This window comes from Homo sapiens, chromosome 12, assembly GCF_000001405.40.
Source record: "Homo sapiens chromosome 12, GRCh38.p14 Primary Assembly".
NCBI lineage: Eukaryota > Metazoa > Chordata > Mammalia > Primates > Hominidae > Homo > Homo sapiens.
The window spans coordinates 15,514,730-15,534,895 of record NC_000012.12 but is presented as its reverse complement, the minus strand read 5'-3'; the positions used below and the strand labels follow the sequence as shown (position 1 = coordinate 15,534,895).

The following is a 20,166-nucleotide window of genomic DNA, read 5'->3' as shown; positions in this document are numbered from 1 at the left end:
ATTAGAATATAATTTTTAAAGCTGGCACAAATAGCCCCTTAATTAGTTCCCCTACTTTCATTGTTGATACAATAATCCCTTTCTCATTAAGCAACCAGAGGGATTGTTTTAAATGTAAATCGGACTGTTTATTTTAAGTTCTCTAAATGGCCCTTCATTACTCTGAAGATAATATTCCAACTGCATGCCTTAAAAGATCTATACTCAGGCCTGCCTGTTCCCTCTGTCTGGCATCCTCCTTCTTGGCCTTTTTGTGGCTGGTTCTTCTTGTTATTCAGACCATAGCCTCCATGGCTTCCTCAAAGAAAGCTTTGACCACACAGTCATTCTGCACCACATTTCCCTGTTGTAGAGCACTGTACAGCACTATTACCATCTTCCCCTTCACTAGATCATAAGCTCCTTGTGAACAGAAAGTGAAAGTAGCGCTCTGGGTTCATTACCATCACGACTACCACAAGTACTCTGGCATCTGAGTAGTACTTAGAAGGTTCTTAATATATATTAGTTAAATGGATTGATGAATGGATATTCTATTACCAGAGAGCTATTTGTGATGTGTCCAACACGTCTCATTCCTGTTTTTTCTTTCCTTTCTTTTTCTTTTTTTTAAGGTTGGGAAACTGATTATCTTATGTAGACTTAACATGTCCTCTTAAAGTTGGCCCAGGGATCCAGGTTGATTCACCAAGACTAGAAGATAGTAATGACTGACTGTCAAAGGGACCTGTCACCACATACCACCAAAGTTTCGTGAAACTGCTGGCAACCTAAAATTCCTAATGGGATGGTTGGTTCAACATCCTGGGAAAAGCACCATTATTGGTGCATTTCTTTTTATGGATGTTTATTGATGATACAATGTTGAGAATTATTGGCAACTGTTTGAGGGCTCTCTACCCTTGCACATGACACATTAGATTAATTTATATGATACTGGACTCATTGGTAGTTTGGTTTCTTTCTATAGAGGTAGAACCTACCCTCCATGACACAGGAGTCATTCAGAGGCATTCTAAAGAGGCCTCTATTATAGATAAATTGAACTGCAGGTTAGCCCAACCAGTTACGGCCCCAGCTTTAACAATGGCATTCTGATTCAAACATGCTCTGAAAAATCTGTGCCAAAGTTGTATTTTTCTTTAAAGGAGAATGACTATGACTTCTATATATATCAAAATGAATGCTGGGAAGAAACATAAAACAACTAGAATGAAAGTTCTGTAAAAAACACACACAAACACACACAAAACCTGCAATTCAGGTACTACTAAAGCAAGATATTATTTCACTTCTCTGAAAGGTTAAACTTGTTCCGATTAAATATTAACTGCAATACTATGTTCAACTTTGAGGTCCGCAATTTCAATTCATTCAACAGTATCTGTTAAGCAGTTATAGGTGTTCAGGCATTGTGTTATATAAAATGGAAAGGGCTTATATACACAATAACATGATTAGTAGAACAGATCTTTTGACTAAAGGATAAAAACCAACATTATATGTTTTCAAGAAAATAAGAAAGGCACATCATAAAAAGATTGTCTTGTCTACAGAGAGGAATAAGATAGAAACAATATTCCATTTGATATTTAAGATACCAATAAGAAAAAGGTTATTGATCCTAAGGGTTACATTAACTAGAAATAATTTCCATGAAAACTCAACTTTCCTTCTTGTAAAGTTTAAATAAATTTTCCAAGCTGGTTTACATAGTCCATTCTATTATCAGGGAGACATGGAGACTCCAAACATTTTGATAAGTTTGGGAAACTATCATGGTTTTAACTCACAGTCCTATGTAGATACAGTTGTACTAGTTCATGACTTTGACTCATATTCCTGAGGCACCTTCGACCATGATGTCACATAGAAATTTCAGTGAAGTATCCAATAGGCCCACTAAATGCTACTTTGATAAGACCACCTCTGAACTTAAATTTTAAGGGAGACTGAAAAACCAAATGAGTTGGAGAAAGCTGCTAGGACCTGAGAAACACTTAATAGCTTCCTGTATTAGTAAAGCTTGGAAAAAGGAAGACATTGGGAATATGAGCTCAATCTTCAAGTAATTACAGTTACCTGGAAATGAGTTTTTGAACGGCCCTTTACACCCACAGAGGTCAGAGTCAGAGATAATGGCTGGAATTGGTAGACAGGCAACTTTTTTCTTAATAGAAAGATTATGCAAAGTTGGAAGTTGGTGCTCTCCACATTCGTAGAATTTAAGTATAGACCACAAGGGAGGAAGAGCAGATTGCCTTCAGTGCAGGAAAGGTAAGAGACAACCCTTGATCCTCAATTGGGGCACTAGTGCCCCCTTGAGGGTGTTTGAAAGTTTGGAGGAATGTTTTTATTAGTCACAGCAGAGGGAATTAGCTGTTCTTTTGTGGTCAGGACTTAGAAATGCTAGCCGTCCTGGAATTATTAAGAGGACACCAAAAGACAAATTGTCCCATGTCCCACATCCCACATGACTTTCAAATGTCATACCAGAGAAAATCCACCATAAGTGTAAATTGCAAGTACTTTGCTACATAATATTGAAAGTTTTTAAAAAGAAATTAAGTAAAATAATTTAGAAGAAAGTTGTCATGAAAAGGCATATTTAAATCCAATTAAGATAGTATTTAAAATTATAAATTATTCAATATTATAATTTTTACTTCCATAGTGTCTAATCAACACATCACATATTTCCAAATTACCTATACAATTTTAAAGTATTTCAGCACAAAAACTTAGCTTTTGTCTTGGCAAATAGGAGACAAAGAAATTTAAGACTCAGTGACCTATGCATTGAGTTCTGGAGAAATGCAATTACTGGGTAAATTGAGGAAAGATCGTATTTTTTGTTTTTTAGATTTTCTAAAATTTTTCTAAAAGTACATCACTGCCAACAATACTACCCATGGTATTTAAGCTACTAATAAAACAACCACGAATTAGTCTTTACTTACAGCTGCTAATATGAACACATGTAATAACAGAGATGGCTTGAGACTGTTATGAACAAATTCAGACACAAAAATTAGCAGACATCTTAAAAAATGATGTCACTAAATTGCATTAACTATGTGGAAAACACTTTTATTGCCATTAGATAAACTTAATTTTTGAAATATGAAAATTATAAAATCTCTGCTGTGAAAATTACATATTGAAATTATGCATTTAGTTTTGGGTTGCCACTCTTTCGGTCATACTGTCTCTAAAGGTCTATCACACAACTTTGTGTCAATCCATCCTCCATTGTCTGTGGCAGATTTTAGGATACTGTCTTCGAGTTTCCCTATAAGTATCAGAAACTAAATGTATACCGCAATAAATGGTCAATTTTTGAATGTAGAAGATGTGTTTTGTGTTACACAGTCACTTTCCAGTTGTATGCTACACAGTCACTTTCCAGCTGTATGTCATAATATAAAGAATTATTTTGACATTACACTACACAAAAAGATCCAGTTCATTTGCAAGAATGTTAAAGTATCTGTTTTTCCTTATCCACAGCCTATTATTTTTCTTGGCATATTATCTTACAGAATGAATTTGGAAGTATTCCTTCCTATTCAGCTTTTTTGAAAAGTTTGAGCAGGATTGGCATTAGTCCTTCTTTAAATGTCTGGTGAAATTCAGGGGTCAAGCCATCAGGACCTGGGCTTTCTTTGGTAGGAGACTTTATTATGACTTTCATCTCACTGCTCATTATTGGTTCATTAAGGTTTTCTTGTTCTTAATTGTTCAGTCTCATTAGGTGTGTTCAGGAATCTATCCATTTCTTCTAGTTTTCCAATTTGTTGGTTTATAGCTGTTCATAGTAGTCTCTCATGATTCTTTGTATTTATGAGGTCTCTTATTATGCCTACTTTATTGTTTCTGATTTTATTTCTTTGGGTCTTCTCTCTTTTTTTCTCAGTCTAGTTAAAGGTTTGTTGATTTTATCTTTTTAAATAACCAACTTTTTGTTGTGTTGATCTTCTGTATTTATTTTTAGTCTCAATTTCATTTATTTCTGCTCTGACCTTTACATTTCTTTCCTTCTACTAATTTAGTGTTTGGTTTGCTTTTGCTTTTCTAGTTCCTTGAGGTACATCATTAGGTTGTGTATTTGAACTTTCTACTTTTTTATATTAAGGGCATTTATTGCTATAAAATTCCCTCATACTATGGCTTTTGCTATATCCCACAGATTTTGGTATGTTGTATTTTCATTTTCATTTGTCTCAAGAATTTTTAAAATTCCTTTCTTAATTTCTTCATTGACTCATTGGTTGTTCAGGAACATGTTGTTCAATTTCCATGTGTTTGTTTATTTTTTGAGATTTCTCTTGTTACCACTTTCTAGTCTTATTCCATTGTGGTCAGAAAAGATACTTGATATGATATGTACTTTTTGAATTTGTTGAGACCTGTTTTGTGTCCTAAGATATGATATATTCTGGAGAATGTTCCATGTGCAGTGAAAACAATGTGTATTCCATAGCAGTTGGGTGAAATGTTCTTTAAATGTCTATTAGGCCTATCGGGTCTCATGTGTAGTTTAACTCTGTTGTTTCTTTGTTGTTATTCTGTTGGAAGATCTATACGTTACTGAGAGTGGGGTGTTGAAGTCCCCTCCTATCACTGTAATTAAGTCTATCTGTTCCTTTAGATCTATTAATGTTTACTTTATTTACTTAGGAGCTCCAGTGTTGGGTGCATAGATATTTATAATTGTTATATCCTCTTGCTAAACTGATCCCTTTATCATTATATAGTAACCCTCTTTGTCTGTTTTTACAATTCTAGATTTGTGGTCCATTTTATCTAATATAAGCATAGCTACATCTGCTTTTTTGCTTGTTTGTTTTCCAGTTGCATGGAATATCTTTTTCCACCCCTTCACTTTCAGTCCCTGTGTGTCTTTACAGGTGAAGTGGGTTTCTCAAAGGCAGCATATAGTTGGGTCTTATTTCTTTATCCATTCAGCCACACTGTGACTTTTAATTGAGAATTGAGACCATATACATCCAGTGTTATTATTGCTAAGTACGGATTTACTACTGCCGTTTTGTTGCCTGTTTTCAGATTGTTTTGAGAATCCTCTCTTCATATTTTGTGGTTAAGTGATTATTAAGTGTTATGTATTAATTTGTTGCTTTTTATTTTTAATGAACTGATTATATGATTTTGTGCTGTGGTTACCACAAGGCTTATAAAAAATCTTATAGATTTAACAAGTTTATTTATTTATTTGCTTATTTTTAAGATGGGGGTCTTGCTCTGTCATGCAGGCTGGAGTGCAGTGTTACAATCACAGCTCACAGCTCACTGCAGCCTCAATCTCCTGGGCTAAAGTGATCCTCCTGCCTCAGCCTCCCAAGTAGCTGGGACCACAGGCATGTGTCACCATACCCAGCTTTTCTTTTTTTCCTTTTTTTTTTTTTTTAGTAGAGATGAGGTCTTGAATTCCTGGGCTCAAGCGATTCACCAACCTTGACCTCCCAAAGTGCTGGATTACAGGCATGAGCCACCATGCCTGGCCATAACAAGTTACTTTAGAGAGATGACAACTTATCTTAGATCATGAGCAAAAGAATAGAAACAAAAGCAAAACTACCACACCTAAAAATTTAACTTCATCTCTCTCCACCACCCAATTTTGACTTTGTTGCCTCAATTTACATGCTTTACATTACCTATCTCTTAACAGGTTGCTGTAGCTATTATTATTTTTAAAAGATTTGTCTTTTGGGCTTTATACCAGAGTTATGGATGGATTGTACACCACAATCACAGTAACAGAATATCCTGGGTTGGTCCATGCATTTAATTTTCCCAAAGGTCTAATACCTTGAAAAGTTTTCTTTTCGCATGTGTCTTTTTCTCTCAGATTGAAGAACTCTCTTGCATTTCTTGTATGACAGGTCTGGTAGTGGTGAATTCTTTCATCTTTTGTTTTTCTGAGAAATACTTTATCTTTCCTTCATATTTGAAGGACAATTTTGCTGGATACATTATTCTTGGATGGCAGTTTTTTTTCTTTGAGCACTGTAAAAATGTTCTTCCTCATGGCCTGTACAGTTTGTTGCCAGGTGAATTGCAGCTTGTTTACCTGTTATTTGCTCCTTTTCTCTTGATGCTTTCAGGATCTTCTCTTTGTCCTTGACCTTTGAGAGTCTGAGTATTATACGCTTTGGGGTGATTTTATTTGAGTGGTATCTGTTTGGTATTCTCAGACCCTCATGAACCTGGCTATTTGTACCTGTCTCAAGTTTTGGAATGTTTTCTATTATTATTTCTTTCAGTAAACTTCCTTATTCAGCTCCCCCTTGAATACTAATAATTCTTATGTTTGATCTTTTAAGGTTTTTTTAATACCTTTTTTTTTTTTGACAGATTCTTGCTCTGTCACCCAGGCTGGTGTGCAGTGGTGCGATCTCGGCTCACTGCAAGCTCCACCTCCTGAGTTCACATCATTCTCCTGCCTCAGCCTCCCGAGTAGCTGGGACTACAGGCACCCGCCACCATGCTGGCTAATTTTTTTTTTTTTTTTGTATTTTTATTAGAGACAGGGTTTCACCATGTTAGCCAGGATGGTCTTGATCTCCTGACCTCGTGATCTGCCCGCCTTGGCCTCCCAAAGTGCTGGGATTACAGGTGTGAGCCACCGTGCCCAGCCTTTTTTTTTTAATATCTTATAGTCAGACTTCACTTACTTTCAGTCTTATTTTTCTTTTTTCTCCTCCAATGGTGTATTTTCAGATAGGCTTTTAGCTCCCTGAATCATTCCACTCCTTTGTCCATTCTGCTGTGATGTGTTTTTCAGTTCAGCAAACGTATTTTCCAGTACCAAGAATTTGTTTGATTTAAAAATTTCTCTGATAAATTTCTGAATTGCTTTTCTGTGTTTTCCTGGACATCACTGATTTTCCTTAAACTGTATTTTGAATTCTTGTTCAGAGAGCTCACAGATCACCATCTTGTTAGGGTCAGTCATTGGATTTTTGCTTTGTCCTTTTCCTGGGTAGCGTGGGCGGGTCACAGTTCCCTGTTTGATGTTGTTTCTTATGGGCATAGAACTATGTCTTTGCATTAAATAATTAACTATTTAGTCCACTTTCCTTTGTCTGCCTTGCCTTGTTTTGTCTTTTATTGGCTATGTTTGCCTAGCAAATATTTACCACTAGATCACTGCCTACATTTCAGCTCTAGGTGGCACCTTAAGTCCAGATTTGCCTTGGCTCTGCCTGTCCTGAAAAAGAAAGGTCTTAAAGGAATTATCCTGGCAGTGTGTCAAAGTTAGCTGGGGGGCTCATGCCCAAGGGACCTGTGAAATGTACCTCCTACAGTATGGTGCTGCTGAACAGCCACTCTGATTTGGTGTCTCCTTTGGCCAAGTTACAGAGCAGAGTTGCTGGGACTGGGAATGGTAGTTCCATCTCATCTCTTTGTTTCTGCCTATCCTCAAGCTATTTCTCCCTTCAGGCAGTCACGATGCTTCCTGTGGGTTAAGGCAAGGACAGATTTCCTGCCAGGGAGCCCAAGATAGTGGGGAAACTAGTTGACTACCTCAACCTCACTTTTTCCAGTGTAGAAACATGAGTTGGCAGAAGATTTTCTGCACACTTGTTGCCAGGCAGAATCGCGGGGGAGGCGTCACGAATGTGGAAGCCTGATTCTCCTACCATCTGCCCAGAGTATTTTCACTTCTCTATGGCTCTGGAATCGGTCGCATCCTCGTATTTGAGTTCTGGGTTGTTGCTGGTGAAAATCTCAGAGTGTATATTTGCTTTTGGTTTTCTGTTGGGTAGAGGGGAGTGAAGCCAGCTTGCTTCTATGCTGCCATTTATAAACTTTTGGTGTGTTGTCCCTACTTTAATTAAAATTATTTCCATCTTTCTCTCATTATATGAAAATATATCTCATCTTTTAGTACTTATTTTAACTCTAGTTTTTATTCTAGTATCTACCTGTATCTATGCTTGTTTAGTTATTTGTTATCAATTTATATTAACTTGTTCATTTCTTTGCTTATTTTTATACTTCTTATATGAAGGACTAATGATCTTTTTATTTCTTATAAACCCCAACTTATTCATTTTAATTATATCTAGGCATCAGGTAATTTCATTATGTCTTTTAGAGTAGTTGTGTCTGACCATATATTTAGGAAATCCATATTATTTTATTATAAATTAGTTTCTTTTTGTCTTGATTTTATTCTGGAGTTGGGAAACTATATAAAATTTAAAAAATCAATATGTAGATTTTTAAATCCATTACTATTTAAGATATTAAAGAGAGCATTACATAATATTAATATGAAAATAGAATGTTGTCTTATAGGGTTGTGAACACTGCATTAGATAATCTCTAATGTGCTTCCATCTCCAAAATCCTATGACTACCTGGTTTCTTTAACCTTACAAAGAACAGCGAACACCACTGTTTCCCAGAACAGTATACAACCCACTCACAGAAACTTGTACCAAGTTGAACATACCCTTTTGCTAGTACAAATGTCTATTTTCTACTCATAAAAAATTAGCCATTTTTCTGTTATTATTTCATTGAATTGAGGAGCTCTTGCTGAATCGAATGATGCAAACATTAGTGATTATTTCACACCCATCTCTGTGCACTCTTCTTACCTAGCTTGACAAGGCGGAGCATGGAGGTATTACTTCCTCTTTCAGTACAAGCAGTTACTGAGAGGTTATAGATGTCGCCTGGAGGCAAGCTGAGAATTGCAGTCATGACATTGCGTGTTACCTGCAAGATCATCAAAATCAAGGGTTTAAACTTTTAGTGAATGAATCAGTGCACCACCCCAAACAACTAAAGGACTATAGCAGACACATTCCCTCTCTGTTCTATGCAGCAGTCTGCAATTGATTATATTATAGATACGTTATATCTTCTGAAAATTTTATAAATTCCTCAGCTGGGCCCAATGTGAGGTAGCCTTAATAATGCATTATATACATCAGAAAAATTTTGCAATGAATTCCCTTATTTGGAATGGGTCTCATTCTGACATTTTCTCACATATTGATAACAGGTTTTAGAAAAGACAATTACTGAGTTGCTACTGATATGTACATTCTAAGACGTTCAAAAGAAACCTACCCATATCTGTAGACGTGTGGCTTCCTACCTAACAGCCATTGTTATTTCCCATCCTCTCCTACAGCTAGAGGGGATGATGTGACCCAGCTCTGATCAGTGGATTGTAAGTAGAAGTCACATGGACAAATGACAGTTCAGTTCACATCCTGTAAGTGCTGGGCTTCCACATCATCCCTTTTCTTTTCCCCTTCCTGCAGGCTGGAACATGCATGTAATGGTGATAAAGCTTCCTCTCTAGAGACAAGGACTATGCATAGTGGCAGATGGAACAACAAAACAGAATTTGCCTCCCTGGGTGACCCCTTAAAGCAGAAGTGCCTGGTTAGTCCTGTGCTATCATGGGAGAGGTATAAACTTCTATTTTGTTTGAGCCACTCTCTTTTTGTTTGTTTCTTTATTACAGTAGTTTAGTCTGTCCCCTTATCAATAAACATCCAAAAGCGTATTTTGGAGAAAAGAAATCAGTAGTCCCAAGGTCCCCAAATCTTTAGGTGTCGGTGATATATGGGAAAAAATGGGAAACACGTTAATTGTAGTTTTCTTGAAAATGTTTGGCATCCTGAAGAAAAAGCTCAAATCATAATTCTAAATATAAATGAAATCAATAGTTGGAGCTCTTACATCTCACTGTTAAAGATTAAACGGTAAGCTCTATGAAAGGAAGAATTCAATTTTTGTTCACTGTCTTATCTCCAGAGCCTAAAACAGACAACTGGTATGCAAACATTTGACGTGTCAATAAATGATTGCTTAGTGGTTTTCAATAGTTCATAAAACTAAATTTACAGACACACAATGCTGGCATTCAAAGAAACATACACTCTTTTTAATTTTCTTTTTTCCTTCTGCAACCACCATCCAGTGAAGCATTCTAGAATGGGACAAGTCCGTTGTATCATCCCCATATGTCCAACTGATATATAACAGACTGTTGAAATATTCCACAGAAGTGATTTCCGGAGCCACTGGGGCTACAAGGGAGAAACGAGGCACAATTTAGTATAATAGATGGATAAATAAAGTACTTACCAGCAGAGCATGAAATCCCATATAGAGTCAACTTAGCGAATTAGAATTCACAGCACACGATAGTCCCGGTAACTTCAGGACCTCTCAATAACAGTGAAGGATGGTGATACAGGATGGGCACTTGTTTAATGGGATCCCACATCTTGTATATCTAAGATACAAGACCCCCAGACCCATCTGTACCTGAGGATATCAAAGTCTTTTGGATAAATGTCACCATTACAAAATTCCTAAAAAGTTCACTTGTTTGGGTATATTTTTGTTACATCAACCAATTAATATTAATAGGTATCAGTGGAGTTATTAGCCAAGTAGGATTAAAAAACTTAGAGTCCTGCAAACTAAGTCTCTTTCATTTACTTGCAGCAAAGGTGTTTATGGGAATAAAGAACAGTAGGATACAAGGGTAGGAAGATAGAAGATCATAGTACTACAAGCAGGATAGAAGACAAATGTTATTTGCATAAAATAACAAGACATTATTTTTGACAGTGTCTAGCCCAGTGCTTTGCAGAAAACAGGCTCTTAATAAATGTTGCTGAGTGAGTAGTGAGAGAGAGAAAGAAGGGAAGAACAAGTTTTTTTTTTTTTTTTTTTTAGCCACGAAGCTAAATTCTAACACTGAGCTTGCTACTTTATCATCTTATGCATTTAAATTTTTAAAAATTTAAGCAGGGAATGCCTGTAATCCCTGCATTTCGGGAAGCTGAGGTGGGTGGATCGCTTGAGTCCAGTTCAAGACCAGCCTGTGCAACATAGCAAAACCCCATCTCTACAAAAAAATTAGAAGATTCAGCTGGGCATGGTGGCACACCCTGTTGTCCCACCTACTAGGGAGGCTGAGGTGGGAGGACTATTTGAGCCCAGGAGATCCAGGCTGCAGTGAGGCATGAGCCTGCCACTGCATTCCAGCCTGGGTGACAGAGTGAGACCCTGCCTCAAAAAAAAAAATTACTTTTATTTTATTTTATTTTTACTTTTGAGGCAGGATCTCAATCTGTCACGCAAGCTGGAGTGCAGTGGCGCAATCTCAGCTTACTGCAGCCTCGACCTCCCAGGCTCAATCATCCCTCCTGCCTCAGTCTACCAAGTAGCTAGGACTACAGGTACAGGCCTTCATATCCAGCTAATTTTTATATTTTTTGTAGAGACAGGGTCTTTCTATATTGCCTAGACTTGTCTTGAACTCCTGGGCTCAAGCAATCCACCCATCGTGGCTTCCCAAAGTGCTGGGATTTCAGGCGTGAGCTTCCACGCCCAGCCAAAAAACGTAAATAAATAAAATAAAAAATTTGCCAACGAGGGAAGAGAATTCATCACAAGCTTTATACTATATAGGCTCTGAAAACATTTTAATTACCTTTTTAAAGTAACTGCTAACTCTGATTATTTTAAAAAACAAATACACAATTGAATTTAAATTCCAGGTGTATGTTGGTTTGAAGACAGTCGGTGTTCCATTCTGAGATACAGCACAATGTCAACTAAAATCTATGGAAATTTTCTATAAAGAATCATTTCCCCTAATGTGATGCTAATACTTACAACAAACATTCATAACTAGCTATGCTTTCAAAATTATTCACTGAAGAATTTGTAATATATGAAGTAAAAATGCATTTGTTTCATGTGAAATACGAGTAGCACTTATATAGTATGCTTAGCAATAAAATCTTGAAAGATCATCAATGCATCTAACAAGTAACACAAATCTACATCATATTTCAGAATATTCTACTAAAGGAAAATAACCTTGGCTTCCTTATAGCCTCCTAATATATTCCAACATATTTCGTCATATACAAGAACCTATGCATATATTTCTTCAAAGGGTATTTTCTCATGTCCTAATTTTAGTGAGGAAAAGAAACATCTTTAAAATTGCAAACCCAGAAGTATATATCTTTCCTCTCACATGTCAGATTTTTATTTCCATGTTGTTGCTTTAAAACCTAGCATATTGCTGGAAGGCCACAAGATGTCACTATTTGTTTATTAATACTTTGGCCCCTCCGCATAATTACTATGATTGAGGGCTAGCCAACTGAATTGCCTAACAAAGATGGTAGACTTGAGTTCCTAATAAATCACACCTAATTCAAATATTTTGTTCCTATTTTCTTTTACACCACACAATTTGGAAAATTCAAAGCATAGGAAAGTTAAGCATGAGATTCTTATTTGCTTTAAATAAGAAGGTAAAAAAAATCACACACACACGCGTTTTTACTTTATATATTACAAATTCTTCAGTGAATGATTATTTTTGAAAGCATACCTAGTTATGAATGTTTGTTATAAGTATTAGCATCACATGAGAACTGTCGGGGGGTGGGGGCAAGGGGAGGGAGAGCATTAGGACAAATACCTAATGTATGCGGGGCTTAAAACCTAGATGACAGGTTGATAGGTGCAGCAAACCACCATGGCACATGTATACCTATGTAACAAACTGCATGTTCTGTACATGTATCCCAGAACTTAAAGTAAAAGTAAAAAAAAAAAAAAGAAGGTTAAAATAAAACCTACTAGAATTTTCAATATGTTTAGAAAATAAGTATAAAAAAGACAATAATCTATTATAATAGTGACTTACATTACATGATTTAATTCTCACACATACTGTGAGGTATTTATTATTATGTATTTATTATTATTATACCCATTTTATAGATGTGAAAATTGAGACCATCTCTGTCAATATGCTGAGACAATACCTGTAGACTGCTGGTTCAGCATCACTTATTTATTTGACCCAGGAAAAGATAGAAAATCATCAACATCAATACATTGGTGACAACAGACTGCTTACCAGGTAAGTAGCTTGTCTATTAACCATAGTTTATTGATCCACACTTGCTATGTCCATTTAAACTGTTATAAACTATGCCCAATCCTAGTCAGTTTTCCATCTTGAAAGGCATACCTTAAACCACTTGAGCCAGGAAGCCAAATCCTATTAATATTTCATTTCTTTTGTTCCCCCTTAAAAGACAGTGCAAAGACTGTCAGGGTGGTGTTCAATATATTAAGTTTTGCTCTACTAATCAGTTGTCTCTAAGTAGGCTTTAGTGCCTATTTAGCTGACATTTTAGGGGGTTCTACCGGTGAGAAAATAGAAGCCCAGAATCGTTAAGATAATTCAAAGTTTGACAGCTGGAATTGAGCAGTCCCAGGTTGAGATGTTACATCTGAGCTTTTTCCAGACAACTGTCCTGGTGAGAAGGAAAGAGCATTCTCAGAAAGTTTACATCAATATAGTTAAATTATAAGAATTATTGATACAGTGAAGTTTACTTATAATTAAATATGTGATTATCATTATAGGCAAAAGACTAACAGCGCTTGCCAAGTAACTGCTATTTTCTCCTTTTTGGGTATTCTTTCAGTTTTCTGCTCTAATATTACTATTAACATCTGGAACAAAAAGTGCTCTGGATATTGGCTAGTAAAGAAAAGAGACATGCTTATGTAAGTTAATTGTGTAAGAATTCACAGATGATTGATTTCTTTCCACTTTTTTTTTTTCTCATACATTTCAACAGAGTAAACTAGATGTCTACTGAGGAAACTATTTGCCAAAATTATTCCTCTAAGCGGTATTTTTCTCCTCTGTTTTCTCAGGACAACTCTAATTACAACCTTGTCGTTCGATAAAAGGTTCTTGAAACGTCTTAGTTCAAACCACAAGGGTTAGTGTTTCTTTGATGAATTTCCCCTTTTCATTGCTATCTCTGACTACTGATGATGCAACTACATAATTTAAGGTTTCCGAGGATCTAAGACTAATTGTTTTTTAAGTGCTTAAACTTTGTGTCGTGTATTTTGCAAAGTAGCTTATATAATAATGAAGTTGTAATAAATAATAACAGATAACTGATACTATTATCATCCCCATTTTCCACATTAAAAAAAACATATTTAGAAAAGTTAACGTGCTCAAGGTTATATGTGGTATGCGGAGGGTCTATTCAAATCCAGATCTACCTGTCTCTAAACCCTATTTTTTAATTTCCACAAGGGACCCTACTACAGTCAGCCTATGACTTTAAAAATGGCTTAATTAATAAGAAAATGGAGGCACTCTAACAAATATAATCATCATATGGGTAAAATCAATCGACTGTGCAGTGTGAAGCTGATGGCTGTGCCTGCCATATTTCTATTCTAATCAATCCCAGCCGGAGAGTACATTAATCAAGGTCAGTGCCTCAGAATAAAAATAAGTCAACGGTGGTAACACAAAATAAAAATGGTATTTTGATTTCTAAAGATTATCAACTAAACAAAATAATGAATGATCAGAATCAATATTATCTCCCATGAAATTGATGCTCACCCAGTGCTGGGTGAATGACTGGCACTTTCTAGAGATTTGGAACCTTGGTAACTCCTCACAATAATGCTCTCTCCTTGTGGAACTGTTCCCCACACATGCCTCACCTGTTATGAAGCTGATGGTAGAGCTGTCACAGCAGCTCAATTCTGGATCTCCCCACGTCACCATGGTAACCCGGAAGTTGTAGTACCATGCTGGCAGCAGATTAGCTATTCTCTGAATGAGAAAAGCAAGCAAGGAGACAAAAGACTGTGGGAGAAAGTACTATTTTTGGAGTAGACTTACTTTCATAAAAAATTAATAAGTAATTTTAATTTTCCTTTATATTGTCTTTTTGTGTTTCCTAAATTTACTATAATAAAATATTCTTTCTAGAATGAAATGAGACATAAAGTAAAATACAAAAATATAAATTTTTAAAAGTGATTTAAAGATATAGAGCCAAAGATTTCCAATATTTGTTTGATTTTGCAATTTCCTAATATTACACATGCGAAACAGTCCTTATTTATAAGTGACTGTACATACATTTCTCCCTATTTCTAAGACAAGTAACCTCTCACAACTCAGTGTTTTTTCAGTGTAAACCACGAACAGGAGTCCTTCAGAGTCTTCAACTGGGTAGAGGGTAATTGTGTACTTTGTGAATAGCCCATGGGTAACCCACACTTTTCAAAATTATCTCAATTTCAGAAAGAGCAATTTTTACCTGTTTTCTTAAAAAACATCCTCTAAAAGCCTGACATTAGAGGTATTTAATTGATCTGTAGATGCCATGAAAAGTCATCATTAAAATTAGGCAGTGTCAACTAACTATGGAATGCCAAAGGGAAATCTCTTTGTGTTCCTCCCCAGGATCCAGGAGAAGCAGTAAGCACTTGATTGCTCTATTCTGTGCTTAGGAAAAAATGTTGATTAACAAATACATTCAATTAGAGTTGACAGCTAGCTTCACACAATTATCTCTTTCTCTCCCTCTCAAAACAAAAGAGAATCCCAAAACCTAAAAGCAAAAACAATGAAAAAAACTTGAAAATAGCCATACCTATGTGATATGGTTTGGCTGTGTCCCCACCCAAATCTCATCTTGAATTCCCACGTGTTGTGGGAGGGGCCCAGTGGGAGATAACTGAATCATGGGGGCAGGTCTTTCCCGTGCTGTTCTGATGATAGTGAGTAAATCTCATGAAATCTGATGGCTATTGTAAGGGGGAGTTTTCCTGCACAAGCTCTCTTGCTTGGTGCCATCCATGTAAGACATGGCTTGCTCCTCTTTGCCTCCCGCCATGATTGTGGGGCTTCCCCAGCCACGTGGAACTGTAAGCCCAATTAAACCTCCTTCTTTTGTAAATTGCCCAGTCTTGGGTATGTCTTTGTCAGCAGCATGGAAACGAATGAATACAGTAAATTGGTACCGAGAGTGGAGTGCTGCTGAGAAGATACCCAGAACTGTGGAAGCAATTTGGAACTGGGTAACAGGCAGAGGCTGGAACAGTTTGGAGGGCTCAGAAGACAGTAAAATGTGGGAAAGTTTGGAATTCCCTAGAGACTTGTTGAATGGCTTTGACCAAAATGCTGATAATGATATGGACAATGAAATCTAGGCTGAGGTGGTCTCAGATGGGGATGAAGAACTTGTCGGGAACTGGAGCAAAGGTGATTCTTGTTACGTTTTAGCAAAGACACTGGCAGCATTTTGTGCCTCCCTTAGGGATTTTGGAACTTTGAACTTAAGAGAGATGATTTAGGGTATCTGGCAGAAGAAATTTCTAAGCAGCAAAGCATTCAAGAGGTGACTTGGTGCTGTTAAAGGCATTCAGTTTTAAAAGGGAAACAGAGCATAAAAGTTTGGAAAATTTGCAGCTTGACAATGTGATAGAAAAGAAAATCCCATTTTCTGAGGAGAAATTCAAGTTGGCTGCAGAAATTTGAATAAGTAATGAGGAGTTGAATGTTAATCCCCAAGACAATGGGGAAAATGTCTCCAGGTCAAGTCAGAGATCTTCATGGAAGCCCCTCCCATCACAGGCCTGGAGGCCTGGGAGGAAAATGTGGTTTTGTGGCCCAGGCCCAGGGTCCCTGTGCTGTGTACAGCCTAGAGACTTGGTGCCCTGCATCCCAGCTGCTGCAGCTGTGGGTGAAAGGGGCCAACGTAGAGATCAGGTGGTGGCTTCAGAGGGTGCAAGCCCCAAGGCTTGGTGGCTTCAGAGGGTGCAAGCCCCAAGGCTTGGCAGCTTCCACGTGGTGTTGAGACTGTGGGTGCACAGGAGTCAAGAACTGAGGTTTGGGAACCTCCACCTAGATTTCAGAAAATGTATGGAAACACTTGGATGCCCAGGCAAAAGTTTGCTGCAGCAGGGCAGGGACCTCATGCCCTCTGCTAGGCAATGTAAAAGGAAATGTGGGGCTGGAGACTGCACACAGAGTCCCTACTGGGGTACTGCCTAGTGGAGCTGTGAGAAGAGGGTCACCATCCTCCAGACCCCAGAATGGTAGATCCACTGACAGCTTGCACTGTGCACCTGGAAAAGCTGCAGACACTCAATGCCAGCCTGTGAATGCAGCCAGGAGGGGGGATATATGCTGCAAAGCCATAGGAGTGGAACTGCCTAAGACCATGGGAACCCACCTCTTGCATCAGCATGACCTGGATGTGAGACACGGAGTCAAAGGATATCATTTTGGAGCTTTGAGATTTGACTGTCCCAGTGGATTTTGGAGTTGCATGGGGCCTGTAGCCTCTTTGTTTTGGTCAATGTTTCCCATTTGGAACAGCTGTGTCAATGCCTGTACCCCGAGTGTATCTAGGAAGTAACTAACTTGCTTTTGATTTTACAGACTCATAGGCAGAAGGGACTTGCCTTGTCTCAGATGAAACTTTTGACTGTGCACTTTCGAGTTAATTAGTTAAGACTTTTCGGGACTGTTGGGAAGGCATGATTGGTTTTGAAATGTGAGGACATGAGATTTGGGAGGGGCAAGGGGCAGAATAATATGGTTTGGTTGTGTTCTCACCCAAATCTCATCTTGAATTCCCAAGTGTTGTGCGAGGGACCCTGTGGGAAGTAACTGAATCCTGGGGGCAGGTCTCTCCCATGCCGTTCTTGTGATAGTGAATAAGTCTCATGAGATCTGATGGCTATTATAAGAGGGAGTTTTCCTACACAAGCTCTCTTTGCTTGCTGCCATCTGTATAAGACATGACTTGCTCCTCCTTGCCTTCTGTCATGATTGTGAGGCTTCCCCAGCCACGTGGAACTGTAAGTCCAATTAAACTTCTTTCTTTTGTAAATTGCTCAGTCTTGGCTATTTCTTTATCAGCAGTGTGAAAATGAACTAACACACTATGTGTATTTACAAAATAATCAAATTTATAGATAATTTCTTAAAGACACATTTGGTACATAAAGGTTTGCCTGTTCCCATAGGAAAGACTGACAGTTGGTTAAGGGAAGATTACCACGGATGCAGTTAAGGAAACAGTTGCTGCTATTTCATAGTAGGTGGTCCACTCTGATGTCATTGTAGCAGGGTTGAAATAAAACATTTCAACCACGTATTTTCTGAACACGCCTAAATAAGGTCTGGTCCAGCTCAGAACCACGGCCGTAGGACCCAAAGGATAGAGCATTAAATCCTTTATTCCTGTGGGAACTAGAAAGAAGAGGGCAGGGGGTAGAAAAAGAAAGTTAAGAAGGAATGTCTTAGCAATGGCCTCAAACTTCTACTTAATGACCCGAGTTTTCACTCTCTGATACAATACCTACCTCCCTCCCTCCCTTCCTTCCTTCCTTCCTTCCTTCCTCCCTTTCTTGCTTCCTCCCCTTCCTTCCTCCCTCCCCCTGCCCTCCCCCTTCCTTCTTCCCTCCCTCCCTCCTTTCATCTTTTCTTTTCTTTTTCTTTCTTTCTTTCTTTTCTTTCTTTCCTTTCTCTCTCTTTTTCTTTTTCTCTCTCTTTCTCACTCTCTTCTTTCTCACTCTCTTTCTCACTTTTTCTCCTTTCTCTCTTTCTTTCTTTCTCTCTCTCTCTCTTTCGTTCGTTCTTTCTTTCTTCTTTTCTTTCTTTTCTTTTTTTTTTTTTGAGACAGGGTCTTGCTATGTTACCAAGGCTAGATTAAAACTTCTGGGCTTGGCTGGGTGTGGTGGCTCATGCCTGTAATCCCAGCACTTTGGGAAGCCAAGGTGGGCAGATCACGAGGTCAGATCGAGACCATCCTGGCTAACACGGTGAAACCCCGTCTCTACTAAAAATACAAAAAATTAGCCAGGCATGGTGGCATGTACCTGTAGTCCCAGCTGCTCAGGAGGCTGAGGCAGGAGAATTGCTTGAACCTGGGAGGCAGAAGTTGCAGGGAACTGAGATTGCACCACTGCATTCCAACCTGGGTGACAGAGCGAGACTCTGTCTCCAAAAAAAAAAAAAAACAAAACAAAAAAAAAACCAGACAAACAAAACAAAAAAAACAAACAACTTCTGGGCTCAAGCAGTCCTCCCACCTCAGCCTCCCAAGTAGCTGGAACTGTAGGTGTGTGCCACGGCACACAGCTTTACTCTTGTTGTATAATCATTGAAAACTAAAGTAAGAATGTTTGCCTCTGATTTTTTCCCCAAGTAATAAATATTAAGAATGTTTTCCAAGTATACAATTCTTGTTATTTATTACTCTGAAGGTAGCATATTGGATGAACTAATATGGACCTTCCAAATACGATGATAATGATTTGAGCTCGCACATTGCACCCCTCCGTCAATACCCTAATATATAGGTCAGTCATTCTTCTTGTGGCTAGCAACTTACCAATAGCAAATGTCACAGGATCTGAAGGTGGTCCAATCAAAGGGCCTTTCCTTAGGTATATTACAACCTGGTACTGGGCACCAGGAACCAGATTTTCAATAATAGGTTTGCTTGAGTTCACCTTTAAACCAAACACCCAATAAGATTTATTTAGAGCTGGGATTTCAGAATGTTACACAGAGGCTGGTATAATATTCAGAGACTCTTTTTGGAATCACAGATGACTTTGAAATCCAGAAGGCTTTACTGAAGCTGTCAGATTCCAAAATTAGGATGATTTATAGTTTATGTGAACATTGAAGGGAACCTAGAAGATTCAAATTTTGTCTGTTCTAAGCCCTGTGAACTGCTTTATACCCATCAGTGTCAATTATAACTATGCACACTAGAGACACATCAGCCTCTAACCATAATCAAATCAGCAATACCATGAGGATAGTTTGACATTCTAAATTGTGGTGTCAGCTGATTACATACAAAGGTCAGTACGGAAATGTCTTTAGTCTCTTGTCACTTAGAAGCATATAATATCTAATTATAGAAATGAAAATGACCACCGGGAACAGTGGCTCACGCGTGTAATCCCAGCACTTTGGGAGGCCAAGGCAGGCAGATCATTTGAAGTCAGGAGTTCAAGACCAGCCTGACGAACATAGTGAAACCCTGTCTCTACTAAAATACAAAGAAAATTAGCCAGGCATGGTGGCAGGTGCCTGTAATCTCAGCTACTCAGGAGGCTGAGGTAGGAGAATTGCTTGAACCCAGGAGGCAGAGGTGCAGTGAGCCGAGTTTGTGCCACTGCACTCCAGCCTGGGCAACAGAGTGAGACAAGCTCTCAAAAAAACAAAAATAAAAAATAAATAAAATAAATAAATAAATAAATGGAAAT

General features: G+C 37.9%; 1 protein-coding gene across 5 annotated transcripts in view, besides 3 other annotated features; it reads right to left on the bottom strand.

Moving 5' to 3' along the window:
- PTPRO (protein tyrosine phosphatase receptor type O) overlaps nucleotides 1-20,166 on the bottom strand; it is a 275,824-nt gene that overhangs the window by 63,436 nt on the left and 192,222 nt on the right. For all 5 annotated transcript variants that reach the window (XR_931316.4, XR_007063106.1, NM_030667.3 and 2 more), the window contains exons 8-12: nucleotides 19,278-19,398; nucleotides 17,940-18,133; nucleotides 14,584-14,695; nucleotides 9,931-10,082; nucleotides 8,634-8,754 (exon numbers count right to left, since the gene is read on the bottom strand). Coding sequence is in view for 3 of the 5 variants with exons in the window: in NM_030667.3 (NP_109592.1) it covers nucleotides 8,634-8,754; nucleotides 9,931-10,082; nucleotides 14,584-14,695; nucleotides 17,940-18,133; nucleotides 19,278-19,398 (700 nt within the window). In the remaining 2 variants the exon portion in view is untranslated. The remainder of the gene's footprint in view (nucleotides 1-8,633; nucleotides 8,755-9,930; nucleotides 10,083-14,583; nucleotides 14,696-17,939; nucleotides 18,134-19,277; nucleotides 19,399-20,166) is intronic.
- Nucleotides 349-438: an enhancer, noted in NCBI's record as "active region_6067". NCBI's record gives its function as "activates an Ori minimal core promoter by ATAC-STARR-seq in GM12878 lymphoblastoid cells {active_cell/tissue: GM12878}" and the evidence as "EXISTENCE:reporter gene assay evidence [ECO:0000049][PMID:35858748]".
- Nucleotides 8,139-9,338: an enhancer, noted in NCBI's record as "CDK7 strongly-dependent group 2 enhancer chr12:15678492-15679691 (GRCh37/hg19 assembly coordinates)". NCBI's record gives its function as "activates an origin of replication core promoter dependent on BRD2, BRD4, P300/CBP, MED14 and CDK7 cofactors, with strong dependence on CDK7, by STARR-seq in HCT116 cells {active_cell/tissue: HCT116}" and the evidence as "EXISTENCE:reporter gene assay evidence [ECO:0000049][PMID:35650434]".
- Nucleotides 8,541-8,610: an enhancer, noted in NCBI's record as "active region_6066". NCBI's record gives its function as "activates an Ori minimal core promoter by ATAC-STARR-seq in GM12878 lymphoblastoid cells {active_cell/tissue: GM12878}" and the evidence as "EXISTENCE:reporter gene assay evidence [ECO:0000049][PMID:35858748]".